Source organism: Homo sapiens, chromosome 19, assembly GCF_000001405.40.
Source record: "Homo sapiens chromosome 19, GRCh38.p14 Primary Assembly".
Taxonomy (NCBI): Eukaryota; Metazoa; Chordata; class Mammalia; order Primates; family Hominidae; genus Homo; species Homo sapiens.
Window position 1 is genome coordinate 55,832,800 of NC_000019.10, and position 16,949 is coordinate 55,849,748.

At 41.5% G+C, this 16,949-nt stretch overlaps 2 protein-coding genes across 8 annotated transcripts in view; one reads left to right on the forward strand and one right to left on the reverse strand.

Moving 5' to 3' along the window:
* NLRP11 (NLR family pyrin domain containing 11) overlaps nt 1–3,776 on the reverse strand; it is a 51,177-nt gene extending 47,401 nt beyond the window's left edge. For all 7 annotated transcript variants that reach the window (NR_169620.2, NR_169622.2, NR_169621.2 and 4 more), the window contains exons 1-2: nt 3,537–3,776; nt 27–116 (exon numbers count right to left, since the gene is read on the reverse strand). The gene's annotated coding sequence lies outside the window, so the exon portion shown is untranslated. The remainder of the gene's footprint in view (nt 1–26; nt 117–3,536) is intronic.
* NLRP4 (NLR family pyrin domain containing 4) overlaps nt 3,741–16,949 on the forward strand; it is a 45,316-nt gene continuing 32,107 nt past the window's right edge. The window contains exon 1 of the mRNA NM_134444.5: nt 3,741–4,135. The gene's annotated coding sequence lies outside the window, so the exon portion shown is untranslated. The remainder of the gene's footprint in view (nt 4,136–16,949) is intronic.

Below are 16,949 nucleotides of genomic sequence, written 5' to 3' on the forward strand. Positions count from 1 at the left end.
TGGACGGGAAAGTGATGAAAGAATACCTTTTACAATAAGATACAAGATAAACAAGGCCTCCGTCACCACTCTTATTTCAACATAGTGCACCTGTTCACTGGGACAAGAAAACGGATCTGAAAGAAAGAGGCGAAATTATCATATTGGAGATAATTTGAATATCCATGCAAACTCTCTCCCCTTAAATCTATTGATAAATTGTTAGGATTCAAAGCAGCTTTGGTGAATATAAATCAACATACAAATCTGATTGTGTTTCTCTAAAAAAAAACTAATTGGAATTTAAAATTTTAAAGGATGCCACATGCAGTTCCAAGAAAAATATAAACTAGAAATAATTCTTATAAGAGATTGTAAATCTTATTGAATGATATACAATGTTATTGCCATATACAAAATCCTTAAAAATGAAGGATAACATTACATTCTTGTACAGGAATTATTATTATGAAGATGTTAATATGCTCCCAAATAGACCTTTATATTCAGTAAAACAATAAAATCCCAATAGAAATTTTCATATCAAAATATAATTCTGAAATGTATGTGGAAAATAGAAGGGACTAGTACAAGCCAAGAGACGCCTGAAGCACATAGGTGGGTGGGAGGTGGGAATGATGATTGAGTTGGACCTACCCTATAAAGATTTAATTTAAAAACTATGGTAATTAAGACTTATTGGTTGGCCGGGGGCGGTGGCTCATGCCTGTAATCCCAGCACTTTGGGAGGCTGAAGCGGGCAGATCAGAAGGTCAGAAGATCGAGACCATCCTGGCTAACACGGTGAAACCCCCGTCTCTACCAAAAATATAAAAAAATTTAGCCAGGTGTGGTGGCGGGCGCCTGTAGTCCCAGCTACTCGGGAGGCTGAGGCAGGAGAATTACTTGAGCCCGGGAGGAGGAGCTTGCAGTGAGCCGAGATCAGGCCACCGCACTCCAGCCTGGGCGACAGAGCGACTCCGTCTCAAAAAAAAAAAAAAAAAAAAAAAAAAGACTTATTGGCACACGGATGAACAAATAATAGTGAAAAAAACATAGAACCCAGAAACCAATGTAGGCAAATACGAAAAGCTGGTTTATAACAGATTTCTGGGCAGTGGCGTAGGTGAACTATTCATTAAATGGAGCTGGTGCCATTTGTATTTAAATGAAAAAAAAAAAATGGATCCCTTCTCCCTACCTTAGAGAAAAATAATTACAAGTGACTTAATACTTCTGTGTGAAATTCAAAACTCTATCATATTTTAAAAGGCAATATTAGATATCTTCATGAGTTGGAGTAGGGAATGATTTTTGTCAACAAGACCTCACATTTATAAAACATAAAGTACATTTTGATCAATTTGATTTCATTTAAAATAAAAACTCTTCAGTGAATGGTTCTTATATAACAAAAGCTACAAACCACAAACTAGGAGGAGATATATGAAAATACGTGCATCACACATAACTGACCAAACCACTTTTTCAGAAAAGGTAAAGCACTTCTTCATGCAAATAAAAACAGAACACAACCAATAGAAATACAAGGAAAACAATGAAAAGGTATTTCACAAAAGAGGCAACAAATGGCTCACAAACATGAGAACAATGTTCAAGTATATTAATAATCAGATAAAAGCAAATGAAAACAACAAAATACTTTTTCCAACTAATATTTGGTGACTACTTTAAAATGTCAACAACATCAGGAGTAGGCAGTAAGGTGCAGCTATGGGGATATTCAACTGTGCATGATGCTAATGTAATTAGTGAAACCACTTCTGAAGAGGCAACTGAAGTCACCTGTGCCTCAGGGACTCAGTCATTCCACTCAGGTAATCCAAAAGTCCTGTGGGCTCACTGATGTGTGCAAGAAGGTTCAAAACAGCATTGTTCATATTGGCAAAAACTGAGAAACCACCCAACCACCTATCACTGACAGAATGGATCATTAAATGGTGACCTAGTCATACATTTAAATACCGTGAGGCAAGACCTAGAAATGAACCGCAGCTATAACAAACTCGCATTGATTAATCTCAAAAACATAATAAGTGAAAAGAATCAAGTCACAGAATGATACACTATAATTCGAAAATGAGGAAAACAAAACATATCTCTTAGGGGAACATGTATCACCAGGAAAAATAAAAAGAAAATCGAAGGGAATGAAGTTCACTTCACAACTGGAAATTTATTTTGGTGGGAACCCCTGAGGATGCAACGGGCATGCTCTTATGGGTACATGAGTCTGCAAAGGTCCCCATCATGTCTGCTTCCCAATCTAGGTTCTGGACCACAGAGACTTGTGTTATGGTTACAGTAATTCCTTAAAGTTCTCATTATGTTTCTCTGCACTCCTTGATGTGTATATTTCAAAACCAGGATCATCACCATCGTAACACTGAACTCAGGATTCTTATAAGGAGGAACTAAAATGGTGATTGTAAAAGGATAGCTCCTAGGACACTGAGGTTTGGCGTGAACCCAGAAGATGACTGTAACGATTGTAGGGAAGCTGGAATAGCAGGAAAACCATGCCCAATGATGAAATCTCGACCTTGCGTCTAAAAAACTTAGCGCCTGTTCTGCCTACGCAGAAAGACAGTAGCCGATATCCATTAAGTTCTTCTTGCAGGCCAGGCACAGTGGCTCATGCCTGTAATCCCAGCACTTTGGGAGGCCGAGGCGGGCAGATCACTTGAGGTCAAGGGTTCGAGACCAGCCTGGCCAACATGGTGAAACCCTGTCTCTACTGAAAATACAAAAATTAGCCGAGGCCAGGCACAGTGGCTCATGCCTGTAATCCCGGCACTTTGGGAGGCCGAGGCGGGCAGATCACTTGAGGTCAAGGGTTCGAGACCAGCCTGGCCAACATGGTGAAACCCTGTCTCTACTGAAAATACAAAAATTAGCCGAGGCCAGGCACAGTGGCTCATGCCTGTAATTCCGGCACTTTGGGAGGCCGAGGCGGTCAGAACACTTGAGGTCAAGGGTTCGAGACCAGCCTGGCCAACATGGTGAAACCCTGTCTCTACTGAAAATACAAAAATTAGCCGAGGCCAGGCACAGTGGCTCATGCCTGTAATCCCAGCACTTCGGGAGGCCGAGGCGGGCAGATCACTTGAGGTCAAGGGTTCGAGACCAGCCTGGCCAACATGGCGAAAGCCCGTCTCTACTGAAAATACAAAAATTAGCCGGGCATGGTGGTGTGCATCTGTAATCCCAGCTACTCAGCAGGCTGAGGCAGGAGAATCTCTTGAACCCGGGAGGTGGAGGTTACAGTGGGCCGAGATGACGCCACTGCACTCCAGCCTGGGTGACCGAGTGAGACCGTATCTAATAATAATTAATAATTTCTTCTTGCACGACAGGTTTAGTTACGGCAGAAAGATGTTGTGCCACACGAACATTCTTCAAGGAGTTTAGCATGTAGGAAGGAATTAGACATTTAAATTATAAACAGAGTCACCCCAACTCTCCAAATGAACCATTTTGGAGAGACTGGAGGAGCATCCCTGCAGCCGTGAGCCCTGGGAATTCTCAATAGGAACCTCCAGCTTGAAATATCCCCCGCTCTATACGACACCAGGAGCAAAGGTCTAGAACAGCCCCTCAAGGGGCGGTGGGCGTTTCGCTTCACATATTTTCTGGATCTGTTCATCAAAAGCCCTCTGAGCCAATGGCAAGGGAGCAATTCGTTGGCCAATCAAATGGCACCACGGATCTTTTCTTCCCGCTTCCAGCCGCCAATCATTAAGGACCAGGAAGGCGTGGAGCGGTGAGTCAGCGCTTCGTGCTGGGCTGTTCGTCTCTTCTATGTGCTGATTTCCTGGGTTACTTTGGGTCTTCCTTTTCTTTCTCCCTTTTACCCTGTCTCCTTTCTTGAGGCTGATCGATCACAGCCAGGCCTCTCCATTCTATTTACCCAGCGTTTTCCTTCTCTCCAGTTAGTGGGGTAGATGAACGCCCTGTGTTTATAAGGTGCCTCCCAGGAGCCTGAGACCTGTGAGAAGAATGGGGGGTGGAGGTGGGGGAGACTCGTCACGAAGGGAGACCTTGGAGCTTCGAGGGTGGGAATGTTCTTATTAGATTCTTCATCTCTGTTGACACAAACATGTAGGAGAAGCTGGAGAACATAGACAGGGATGAGGTAAGGGGGGGGACTTCCCATGAAAGGTGGGACCCAAGCCCTCTCTGCTCTTGTGAGCTTGCTCTCTGACCTAGGGCAGAAACGTCTTTGATACTGTAATTCCAGAATGTGATTTAAAAAGAAAATCACACTTCTAGTTGACTCATACTAATTATGTATATTAGCTGCAGAGAGATGTGTTGGTACATGTATACGTATCATTAAATCAGGGTAATGAGCATATCCATCTCCTCATACCTGTATCATTTCTTTGTGTTAGGAACATTCAGAATCCTCTCCTTAGGTGGGAGGAGGGAGAGGGTCAGGAAAAGATAGCTATGGGGTCCTATTCTTAATACCTGGGAGATGAAAAACTGTACACCAAACCCCTGTGACACGAGTTTACCTGTATAACCAGTGTATATGTACCCCTGAACCTAACATAAAAGTTAGAAAAACCCTCGAAAATAATAAGATATTAAGTATATTCAACCTATAGTGCTACTGAACACCAGCACCTATTCCTACCTACAGGTGTAACTTGGTATCCATTAGCCAACCTCTTTTCATCCCCCTTCTCCAATTATGCCATTTGTTTAGACTATGAAACGTATATAGAAAGAATATTTATCTTTCTATATCAATAAAAGTTGGTTTTTACTGTTAAGGGTTGAATTGTGTCCCAACCCTAAAAACACACACACACACACAAAGTCCTAACCCCTTTATAGGGTGACAAAATAAGGTTGTTGCAGATGTAATTAGTTAAGGCGAGGTCATACTGGAGTGAGTGGCCCCCCTAACTTAATGACGGGTGTCCTTATGAAAACGGCCACATGCGGCTGGGTGTGGTGGCTCATGCCTGTAACACCAGCACTTTGGGAGGTTGAGGTGGGTGGATCATCTGAGCTCAGGAGTTTAAGACAAGCCTGGAAAACATGGCAAAACCCTGTCTCTACTAAAAATACAAAAATCAGCTGGGTATGGTGGCAGGTGCCTGTAATCCCAGCTACTCAGGAGGCTGAGGCAGGAGAATTGCCTGAACCCAGGAGGTGGAGATTGCAGTGTGCCGAGATTGCACCATTGCACTCCAGCCTGGGTGACAGAATGAGACTCGGTCTCAAGCTGGATGCAGTGGCTCACACCTATAATCCCAGCACTTTGGGAGGCCGAGGCGGGTGGATCACCCGAGGTTGGGGGTTCGAGACCAGCCTGACCAACATGGTGAAATACAAAAAATTAGCCAACTGTGGTGGCGCATGCCTGTAATCCCAGCTACTCAGGAGGCTGAGGCAGGAGGATTGCTTGAACCTGGGAGGCAGAGGTTGCAGTGAGCCAAGATTGCGCCATTGCATTCCAGCCTGGGCAACAAGAGTGAAACTCCATCTTAGAAAAAATGGCCACATGAAGGTAGAGACAAGCAGAATGGCATGTGACAAAGTCAGAGTGAAATTACATAGCTGCAAACCAAAGAGTGACACAGGTTGCCAGCAAACCACAGAAGCCAGTAAGAGGCAAGGAAGGGCTCCCCTGGGTTTCAGAGAGAGCAGCACCCTGCCAACACTTTGATTTTGGACATCTAGGCTCCAGAACCATGAGACAGTAGGTTTCTGTTTTAAGTTACCTAGTTTGTGGTACGTTGTCATGCCAGCCCAAGGAAGCTAGTACGCTATTAAAAGAAAAAAATGATGTGATTTTACACTTAGAGAACAGCTTCAAGAATATATCCTTAGGATCACCAAATGTTAAAAGTTTACCTTATATGGTGTCCCTCTACTCTTATATAAGTATTTTTCCTGATCTGTTCAAGATTTGTACACATTGTACAAATTTACATCTAATAATTTACCCTAAATGCTTCAGGGTTTATCTTCTAAAAATAAAAATAAAAGTAAGCTCTTTTGATAACCACACTATATAAAAAACAGGAAATTAATAGAATGATATTATCTAATGTACAGATCTTACACTTAATGGACTTTTTAATTTTTGCATTTGTTTTCACAAGTAGACCGAACATGGAAATTCTTACACTAAGCCTGTTTTTTTTTTTTCTTTTTTTAAATTTAAGTTTTGGGATACATGTGCTGAATGTGCAGGTTTGTTACATAGGTGTACACGTGGCATGGTGGTTTGCTGCACCTGTCAACTGGTCATCTAGGTTTTAAGCCCCACATGCATTAGGTATTTGTCCTAATGCTCTCCCTCCCCTTTCCCACCCCTCACCCACGGGCCTCAGTGTGTGAATGTTCCCCTCCCTGTGTCCGTTTGTGTTCTTATTGTTCAACTCACACTTCTGTGTGAGAACATGCAGTGTTTGGTTTTCTGTTCCAGTGTTAATTTGCTGAGGATGATGTAAACCTGTTTTCATTATCTAACCTATGCCTCAGTTTGAGTGTGTGTGTGTGCTCTTTCACACACATATACACACATGCTTATGCTCTCACACACACATACCCACACACATGCTCTCTCTTAGATTCTGGAAAAATAATTTTTATTTAAATTTTGACATAATTTGCTGATGAAGATGTTTGAGCCTGAAGTCTTCTGTGGGGGAAGAGTTAAAAAAAAAAAAAAAAGCTTTCAAAACTTCACACACACAAAATAGATGAAAGTTGTCATTTTCTAAGAATTTATATATTTGAACAAAATTATCAGTTTTATTGGCATAAAAATGGTAATAGTCTCAATTTTTGATATCTGTAGGGTATGTAGTGGTGTCTTCTGTTTCTGGTATTAATTGCTCATGTCTTCTTATTCATCAGACTTGTTGGGGGTTATCCAGTTTGTATTTTCAAAGAATCTACTTTTGACAGAGTCTTGTATTTTAATTTTTATTTCATTGATTATTTTTTCTACTTTCTTTTGGTGTGTTTTGCTTTTTATCTAAATGTATAATTAGTTTATGAATTTTCAACCTTCCTTATGCCTTTGAAGTAGCACATTTTTCCAGCTCCTGATTTAGCTGTATTTCACTCACTTCATATGCAACATTAAATATTCAGTTCAAAATCTTATATCCGATATTTTCTCTTTATTCATAGATTACTTAGAAGTATGTTTCTTAATTTTGGAATGTCCTTCATTTCATTGTCAAATTCTGACTTAAATTATGATCAGAATATTCTGTGTAACTTATATTATTTGAAATATGTTGAAGCTTGCCCTGAGGATCAGTATATAGCTGACATTGGTAGCTGATTCGTCTATCTTATAGTGTTTTTTCCATTTATTGAATGAAAAGGTCTGTGTCCACAAGGTAAAATTTTTCCATTGTTTTTAAGCCCTTTATTTTCTTTTTAACTTGTTTGTTTAATTGCTGGAACAAATTGATAAAATATCCTGCTATGATTAGGGACTTACCTAATTCTCCTTATGGTGCTGACCATTGTCGGGGGTGTGTGTGTATAGACATATGTGTATGTGTATGTGTGTGTGTGTGTGTGTGTGTGTGTGTGTGTATACATATTTTCTTTTTTCTTTTTGAGACAGAGTCTTGCTCTGTTGCCCAGGCTGGAATGCAGTGGTGCCATCTCAGCTCACTGCAAGCTTTGCCTCCCGGGTTCAAGCAATTCTCCTGCCTCAGCCTCCCGAGTAGCTGGGATTACAGGTGCCTGCCACCACGCCCAGCTAATTTATTATTTTTTATTTTTTGGTATTTTTAGTAGAGACGGGGTTTTACCATGTTAGCCAGGCTGGTCTAGATCTCCTGACCTCGTGATCCGCCCACCTCGGCCTCCCAAAGTGCTGGGATTATAGGCGTGAGCCACAGCACCCGGCTGATCATTCGTATATTTTAAGGCTGTGTTATTGTTGCATGTATGATTATAATTGTTCTCTCTTCCTGGTAATTTGAGCCCTGTGGTTATGCAGCATCTAGATTTCTCACCAATGTTTTGGCTTGGGGTCTGCTTTTCTGGTATCAATATTATGACAACAGATTTTTTTAAAAGCCTGGAATAATTCAATATCTTTTCCTTCTAATTCAAGTCGTGCAATAAATGGAATGGATGAAGAGTTTGGTGAGTAAGATGGGTTATCATACCTTACGTATGCATGACATGCTATTTTGTTCAGATTTCCCATTTAAAAATTTCTTAAATTGACATATAATTGTACATATTTATGGGATACAGTGTGATGTTTGGACACATATATCCATTGTATAATGATCCAATCAGGGTAATTATCATATCTGTTTGTTTAGACACATTTCTTTGTAGTGATACTCAAAATCTTCTAGCTATTTTGAAATATCCGCCACACTGTTATTTGCTTTAGTTACCCTAATTTGTAAGAGAACACTAGAACTTGCGCTTTCTAACTGTAAGCGTGCCTGTTGACCAATCGCTCCTGGTCTCCCGTTACTCTCCCATCCCTTCCCCAGCCTCTAGTAACCACTGTTCTACTCTCTACTTCTATAAGTTCATCTTTTTAGATTCCCCATATAAATGAGATCATATGGTAGTTTTCTTTCTGTGCCTGCCTTATTTTACCTCGTGTCCTCCACGTTCATCCAGGTTGCCACAAATGGCAAGATTTCATTATTTTTTATGGCTAAATAATATTCCATTGAGTATATATACCACATTTTCTTTATGCATTCATTTATTGATAGGCACTTAGTTTGTTTCTATATCTTGGTTATTAGTAATAGTGCTGCAGGCCGGGTGCGGTGGCTCATGCCTGTAATCCCAGCACTTTGGGAGGCCGAGGCAGGCAGATCACGAGGTCAGGAGATTGAGACCATCCTGGCTAACATGGTGAAACCCCATCTCTATTAAAAATACAAAAAAAAGTTAGCCGGGCATGGTGGCAGGCACCTGTAGTACCAGATACTTGGGAAGCTGAGGCAGGAGAATGGTGTGAACCTGGGAGGCAGAGGTTGCAGTGAGCCGAGATCGTACCACTGCACTCCAGCCTGGGTGATAGTGCGAGACTCTGTCTCAAGAAAAAAAAGGTGCTGCAATAGACATGGAAGTAAGGATATCTCTTTGACATACGAATTTCCTTTTTTAAAGAGGTATATACCCAGCAGTAGAATTACTGGGTTATATGGTAGGTTCTATTCTTAATTGTTTTAGAAACCTCCATACTGTTTTCCATAGTGGTTCTGCTAACTTACATTCCTACCAATGGTGTGTAAGAGTTGCCTTTTCTCTGCATCCTTGCCAACATTTGTTATTTTCTTTAGCCATTCTAACGGGGTGAGTTACCCCAGATTTTTTAGGTTCAAATTTGCATGTTTAGTCTTTCAACTTTCGTTTTTCCGTTCTTAGTTACCTCTTTAAAGAGCAAGTATTTGGTTTTTGTATTTAGTCTCACCATCTTTGCCTCTGTACCATTGAGGCAATTATTCTGTGTAATTACTAATAAGAGTTCGAGTTGACCATCACTTTTTTATTTACCTTATCTGTTCTAGGTTCCTATTTCTGTCCTTCTTTATTTTTTAGGTTAGTTTGTCATTTTTCCTCTTCTCTATTTACTTTGGCAGACAAACTTTTTTATGGTTATATCAGAATTCTATCAGTGGGCTTATCAGAATTTCTTATCAAATTTTTACTTCTGTCATCTTCCCAGAGAAGAACATTAGAGCACTTGATGTCCTTTTTCTTTTTTTTTTAGATTTACGTGCCAGCTGTGATAAATTTTAATTCTATTTTCTGTCTCACAAGACTGACTCTATAAAGCAACTTGTCTTCTAATTGACTGTGGCATCTCTTAATTTTCACCTGCAATAATTTTCCTTCTCTCCAATGGTCAATTTTCAAAATTTCCTATAGTGTAAGTCTTCTGTTGGAAAATTTGTCATTTATCTGCAAATGTCTACTTTTATTTCTTTTTATTTTATTTTTATTTTTGAGATGGAGTGTTGCTCTGTCACCCAGGCTGGAGTGGAGAGGTGCGATCTCAGCTCACTGCAAGCTCTGCCTCCCGGGTTCACGCCGTTCTCCTGCCTCAGCCTCCCCAGTAGCTGAGACTACAGGTGCCCGCCACCACGCCCGGCTAATTTTTTGTGTATTTAGTAGAGATGGGGTTTCACCGTGTTAGCCAGGATGGTCTTGATCTCCTGACCTCGTGATCCGCCCACCTCGGCCTCCCAAAGTGCTGGGATTACAGGCGTCAGCCACCGTGCCTGGCCTTATTTCTTAAAGATTATTTTATTCTGGTTAGACTTGAGTCAGCAGCTATTTGTTTTGAGCACCTTGCATGGTTGCTTCTTTAGTTTCTTCTTTCTGTAGCACCTGATCAGGTCAGCTGTCAACATAATGGCACAACCGTTCAAATAAATTATTGTCCTCCCCTTGCCTTACCCCCACTCTGGAATGCTTTCAAGATTTTCCCTTTTGTGTAACTTCTTTATGTTCTAATGTCATTATGTTTCCCTATAATGTGTCTAGACATGGGTTTGTTATTTATACTCTTGGACTTTATTGGGCTTCTTAATTAGTAGATTGATTTTTTTTTCATTGGTTAATAGAAACATCCAGGCCAGGCACAGTGGCTCACACACCTGTAATCCTAGCAGTTTGGGAGGCAGAGGCGGGTGGATCTCCTGAGGTCAGGAGTTCGAGACCAGCCTGGCCAACATGGTGAAACCCTGTCTCTACTAAAAATACAAAAAATTAGCCAGGCGTGGTGATGGGCACCTGTGATCCCAGCTGCTCAGGAGGCTGAGGCAGGAGAATCACTTGAACCTGGGAGGTGGAGTTTGCAGTGAGCTAAGATTGTGCCACTGCACTCCAGCCTGGGCAACAAGAGTGAAACTGTCTCAATTAAAAAAATTATAAAAAGAAACATCCTAGTAGCAATCTTATATTAGGTTGGTACAAAAGTAATTGCGGTTTTTGCATTTTTTTCATGGCAAAAACCACAATTACTTTTGCACCAACCTAATAAAACATACTACATCTGGTCCACAGTCTCTTTTCTCCTTTTGGGGAGCCAGTAACAAGTGTTAGCCCTTTTCATCCTTAGTCTCTTGTCCTCTCTTCTGTGCTTTTCATCTTTTTATCTCTCTCTTCTTGGATGACTTCTCTTTACGTGTCTTCTAGACCACTAATTATCTCTGTCAAATCTGATACTAACACATTGTATTAGCTTCCTGGGGCTGCTGTAACAACATACCACAAAACAGACAGCTTAAGCAACAGAAACTTACTGTCTCACAGTTCTGAAGGCTAATAAGTCCAAAATCAAGGTGCTGGCAGGCGTAATTTCTTCTGAAGACTGTGAGGGAGAATCAGTTTATTCCTCTCTATTAACTTCTACTTGCTTTAGGTGTGCTTTGGTTAGTAAGTGGCATTTTCCCTGTGGCATGGTATCCTCTTCCCTCTATTCATATGTGTCCAGATTTTCCCCTTTCTTTTTTCTTTTTATTTTTCGAGATGGAGTCTCACTTTATTGCCCAGGCTGGAGTGCAGTGGCATGATCTCAGCTCACTGTAACCTCCCGGGTTCAAGCAATTCTCCTGCCTCAGCCTCCTGAGTAGCTGGGAAGACAGGCACATACCACCACTTGGCTAAGTTTTGTATTTTTGGTAGAGATGGGATTTTACCATGTTGGCCAGGCTGGTCTTGATCTCCTGACCTCAGGTGATCCGCCCACCTTGGCCTCCCAAAGTGCTGGGATTACAGGTGTGAGCTACTGTGCCCGGCCAGATTTTCCTCTTTCAATAAGGTCACCAATTATATTGGATCGGGGGCCCACCCTGCTTTAGTATGACCTCATCTTACATGTTCCAGTACAGCTAATTGCATCTGCAAGGATGCTATTTCCAAACAAGCCCAGACTTCAGTTGCACTTTGTGACCTCCAGTGTAACTCATTGTATCTACGAGTATGCTATTTTCAAAAACTTCATACTTCAGCATGTAACTTTTGCAGGGGGACATACATTGGATGCAGAAAAGAGTCCCTGGTGATTTTTGTGGTGGTAGTGGTGGTAGAGGAGTGTGTGTGCGTGTGTGTATGCATGTGTGTGTGTGTTTGGGGGAATATTTAAAGTTCCATCTGTAGCCAATCTGAATGCAGTCTTTCCCCTCACTTTCAGAGGATCTCTTCCCAGAGCCGGAGGTATTAATATTTCAGCCTGTGGCAAGAGGCTACACTTTTTTTTAATTATTATACTTTAAGTTTTAGGGTACATGTGCACAACGTGCAGGTTTGTTACATATGTATACATGTGCCATGTTGGTGTGCTGCACCCATTAACTCGTCATTTAGCATTAGGTACATCTCCTAATGCTATCCCTCCCCCCTCCCCCCACCCCATAACAGTCCCCAGTGTGTGATGTTCCCCTTCCTGTGTCCATGTGTTCTCATTGTTCAATTCCCACCTATGAGTGAGAACATGCAGTGTTTGGTTTTTTGTCCTTGCAATAGTTTGCTGAGAATGATGGTTTCCAGCTTCATCCATGTCCCCACAAAGGACATGAACTCATCATTTTTTATGGCCGCATAGTATTCCATGGTGTATATGTGCCACATTTTCTTAATCCAGTCTATCATTGTTGGACATTTGGGTTGGTTCCAAGTCTTTGCTATTGTGAATAGTGCTGCAATAAACATACGTGTGCATGTGTCTTTATAGCAGCATGATTTATAATCCTTTGGGTATATACCTAATAATGGGATGGCTGGGTCAAATGGTATTTCTAGTTCTAGATCCCTGAGGAATCACCACACCGACTTCCACAATGGTTGAACTAGTTTACAGTCCCACCAACAGTGTAAAAGTGTTCCTATTTCTCCACATCCTCTCCAGCACCTGTTGTTTCCTGACTTTTTAATGATCACCATTCTAACTGGTGTGAGATGGTATCTCATTGTGGTTTTGATTTGCATTTCTCTGATGGCCAGTGATGATGAGCATTTTTTCATGTGTTTTTTGGCTGCATAAATGTCTTCTTTTGAGAAGTGTCTGTTTATATCCTTTGCCCACTTTTTGATGGGGTTGTTTTTTTCTTGTAAATTTGTTTGAGTTCATTGTAGATTCTGGATATTAGCCCTTTGTCAGATGAGTAGGTTGCGAAAATTTTCTCCCATTCTGTAGGTTGCCTGATCACTCTGATGGTGGTTTCTTTTGCTGTGCAGAAGCTCTTTAGTTTAATTAGATCCCATTTGTCAATTTTGTCTTTTGTTGCCATTGCTTGGTGTTTTAGACATGAAGTCCTTGGCCATGCCTATGTCCTGAATGGTAATGCCTAGGTTTTCTTCTAGGGTTTTTCTGGTTTTAGGTCTAACATGTAAGTCTCTAATCCATCTTGAATTAATTTTTGTATAAGGTATAAGGAAGGGATCCAGTTTCAGCTTTCTACTTACGGCTAGCCAGTTTTCCCAGCACCATTTATTAAATAGGGAATCCTTTCCCCATTGCTTGTTTTTGTCAGGTCTGTCAAAGATCAGATAGTTGTAGATATGCGGCATTATTTCCGAGGGCTCTGTTCTGTTCCATTAGTCTATATCTCTGTTTTGGTACACTCTGATCTTGACACTGTCTCCACATCAAGAAAAGTCCAACTCTAGTTGCCTGCTTCTCCAAGATGGTCTCAGAGCAAAGCACCAGCAATGTTCTTGCCCAAAGTCATTCTTTAAGTCAGTGGTTTTCAAATCTGGGCATGCGTCAAAATTAACTGACATTATATATAACTGATGTTATATAACAGATATATAACTGATATTATATATCTAATATCATCACTAACTATTTGCCCAAAATTAACAGATGGCTGTGCCCTACCCTCAGCATTTAGTGTGTCTAGGGAAGGACCTGGGGATTTGCATAGCAAGTTACCAGTTGGTGCTGATGTTCCTTGGAGAAGTATTGCCTTAGGTGCTCAGTGGTGGCCTCAGGACTCAGATACATGTTCCTATAATTAAGATTTTACTAAAAGTAGGCTTTTTAAGACTATTGGCAAAAGCACGCAGGGGAGAAGCCATGAAGGTCACCTTTCCATCATCATATTCTCATTCCGAATACTGCTTAATAATTTTCCCTAATTTTTGTGGGTTTTATTTATTTATTTTGAGACAGTCTTGTTCTGTCACCCAGGCTGGAGTGCAGTGGCACAATCTTGGCTCACTGTAACCCCCACCTCCCAGGTTCAAGAGATTCTCATGCCTCAGCCTCCTGAGTAGCTGGGGCTATAGGCGCCTGGCTACTTTCCCCTAATTTTTGGATCTTAGATGCTATTAAATTTTTTTTAAATTTTTCTCCAAATTACCTATTTTATTTGAGGGGGGGGCAGCAACATTCTGCCTAATGGCCACCCATGAATAAAACAGCTTTATTTTTATTTTCCACTGTATAACTTAACCCTTTTATTGACTTTGCTATTGATCTCTAATTTCATTGCCCTTAAGACAAAGAAGATGACTTTGCTACTGTTGGCTTTTTGTTTTTGAATTATGATTTCCTTTAAAGCTCAGAGCATAATTGATTATCATGAGCATAATTACAAGCTAATTGATTATCATGAATGTTCCACGTATGCTTGAAAAGAATGTTCTCTTGTGTGTAGGATTCCATAAATATTCATAAAATGTGTTGATTTTTATATATCTAATATGAATAACTATTTGCCCTATGTTTTTAGTATCTTTTAAAATTTTAGACTTGTTTTAGACACAGAAAAGTTTGCAAAAATAGTGCAGAGAGTTCCCATAAATCCTGTGCCACATTTCTCTAGTAACGACTTTCGTTACCATGGTACATTTGTCATAACTAATAAACCAGTATTAATAGATTATTAACTAAGATTATTCTTTCTTCAGATTCCCCCCTTTTTACCTAATATCCTTTTTTTTTTTTTTTTGAGATGGAGTCTCGCTCTGTTGCCCAGGCTGGAGTGCAATGGTGCGATCTCAGCTCACTGCAACCTCTGCCTCCCGGGTTCAAGTGACTCTCCTGCCTCAGCCTCCTGAGTAGCTGAGACTACAGACACCTGCCACCACGCCCGGCTAATTTTTTAATATTTTTAGTAGAGATGGGGTTTCACCATCTTGGTCAGGCTGGTCTCAAACTCCTGACCTCGTGATCTGCCTGCCTTAGCCTCCCAAAGTGCTGGGATGACAGGCGTGAGCCACTGCACCTGGCCCCTAATATCCTTTTTATGTGCCTGGACCTCATCTAGGATCCCCCACTGGGTTTCATTGCTGTGTCTCCATTGAGTTCTCTAAACTAGGACCACTCTCAGGATTTCCTTGTTTTCAGTGATCTTGAACGTTTTGAGAAGCACTGGTCAGGTATTTGTGGGACATCATTCATGTTGGGTTTGTGTGACGTTTATCTCATTGCGAGACTGGGGCTTTGAGGAGGAAGACCACGAAGGAAAGGTGCCCTTCCCATCATATCATATGCTACCACTTGCTACCCATGTTGGCCTTGATCTCCTAGCTTAGGTGTCTGGCTGGTTTCTCCACTCTGAAGTTAATCCCTACCCCTTTTTATACTATAGTATTGTATACTATACTATACGATACTATAGCATACTATACTATACATTGAGATGGAGTCTCGCTCTGTCGCCAGGCTAGAGTGCAGTGGCACGATCTCGGCTCACTGCAACCTCCACCTCCTGGGTTCAAGTGATTCCCCTGCCTCAGCCTCCAGAGTAGCTGGGATTACAGGTACCCACCACCACATCCGGCTAATTTTTTGTATTTTAGTAGAGATGGGGTTTCACCATGTTGGCCAAGATGGTCTGGATCTCCTGACCTTGAGATCCACCCACCTCGGCTTCCCAAAGTGCTAGGATTACAGGCGTGAGCCACCATGCCCGGCTGTACTATATTCTTTAAAAAGAAGTCTCTATGTACAACCCACATGATACGGTTTGGCTGTGTCCCCACCCAAATCTCATCTTGAATTGTGGCTCCCATAATTCCCACATGTGGTGGGAGGGACCCGGTGGGAGATACTTGAATCATGGGGATGGTTTCCCCCATACTGTTCTCCTAGTAGTGAATAAGTCTCGTGAGACCTGATGGTTCTATAAGGGGAAACCCCTGTCGTTTGGTCCTCTCTTGTCTGCCGCCATGTAAGATGTGCCTTTTGCCTTCCCCCATGATTGTGAGGCCTCCCCAGCCACATGGAACTGTGGGTCCATTAAACCACTTTTTTCTTTATAAATTACCCAGTCTTGGGTAATGTCTCTATCAGCAGCATGAGAACAGACTAATACACCACACTTAAGAGGTGGGGAGTTATGCCGCATCTCCTTAAAGGGGAAGAATCCATCCATCTAAGCTACTTGGAATTCTTCTTCTTGCTAAAGTTGTTACAGTTTTAGCTATTGGAGGCTCTTTCAGCCTGCCCTGGGTTTCTTTGGTTAGGAAGTGGTCTTAGAAACCAAGAGCTGATCTGGACACTGGGTGTATCGATTGCCACTAGGGTATCTGTTATGCTTCCAGGCCCTTGCATGAGTGTGACTGTAACAGTACCGTAGACTAAGACTATACTTCCAGGGATCATTTCTATAGTTCACTGCAAAATGCTGCAGACTGGATGGCTTACCAACAGAAATGTACTTCCTCTAGTTCTGGAGGCTGGAAGTTCAAATCAAGGTCCAGCAGAGTCCCTTCCTGATGAAGACTTTCTGGATTGTACACAGCTGCCTTCTGTGTCCCCACATAATAGAGTCAGAGGAAGAGATGGGGAGAAAGAGAGCCAGGGAGGGACTTCCAGTTGTTCCAGCACCATTTATGGAAGAGACGATCTGCCTCCATTGTGCCTTTGTCAAAATGAGTTGGCTACATTTGTGGGGCATGCCTTCTCTATTGTTTACTGAGAAAAATGTAATTTCTATATTTACAGTGTAATTTCTATATTT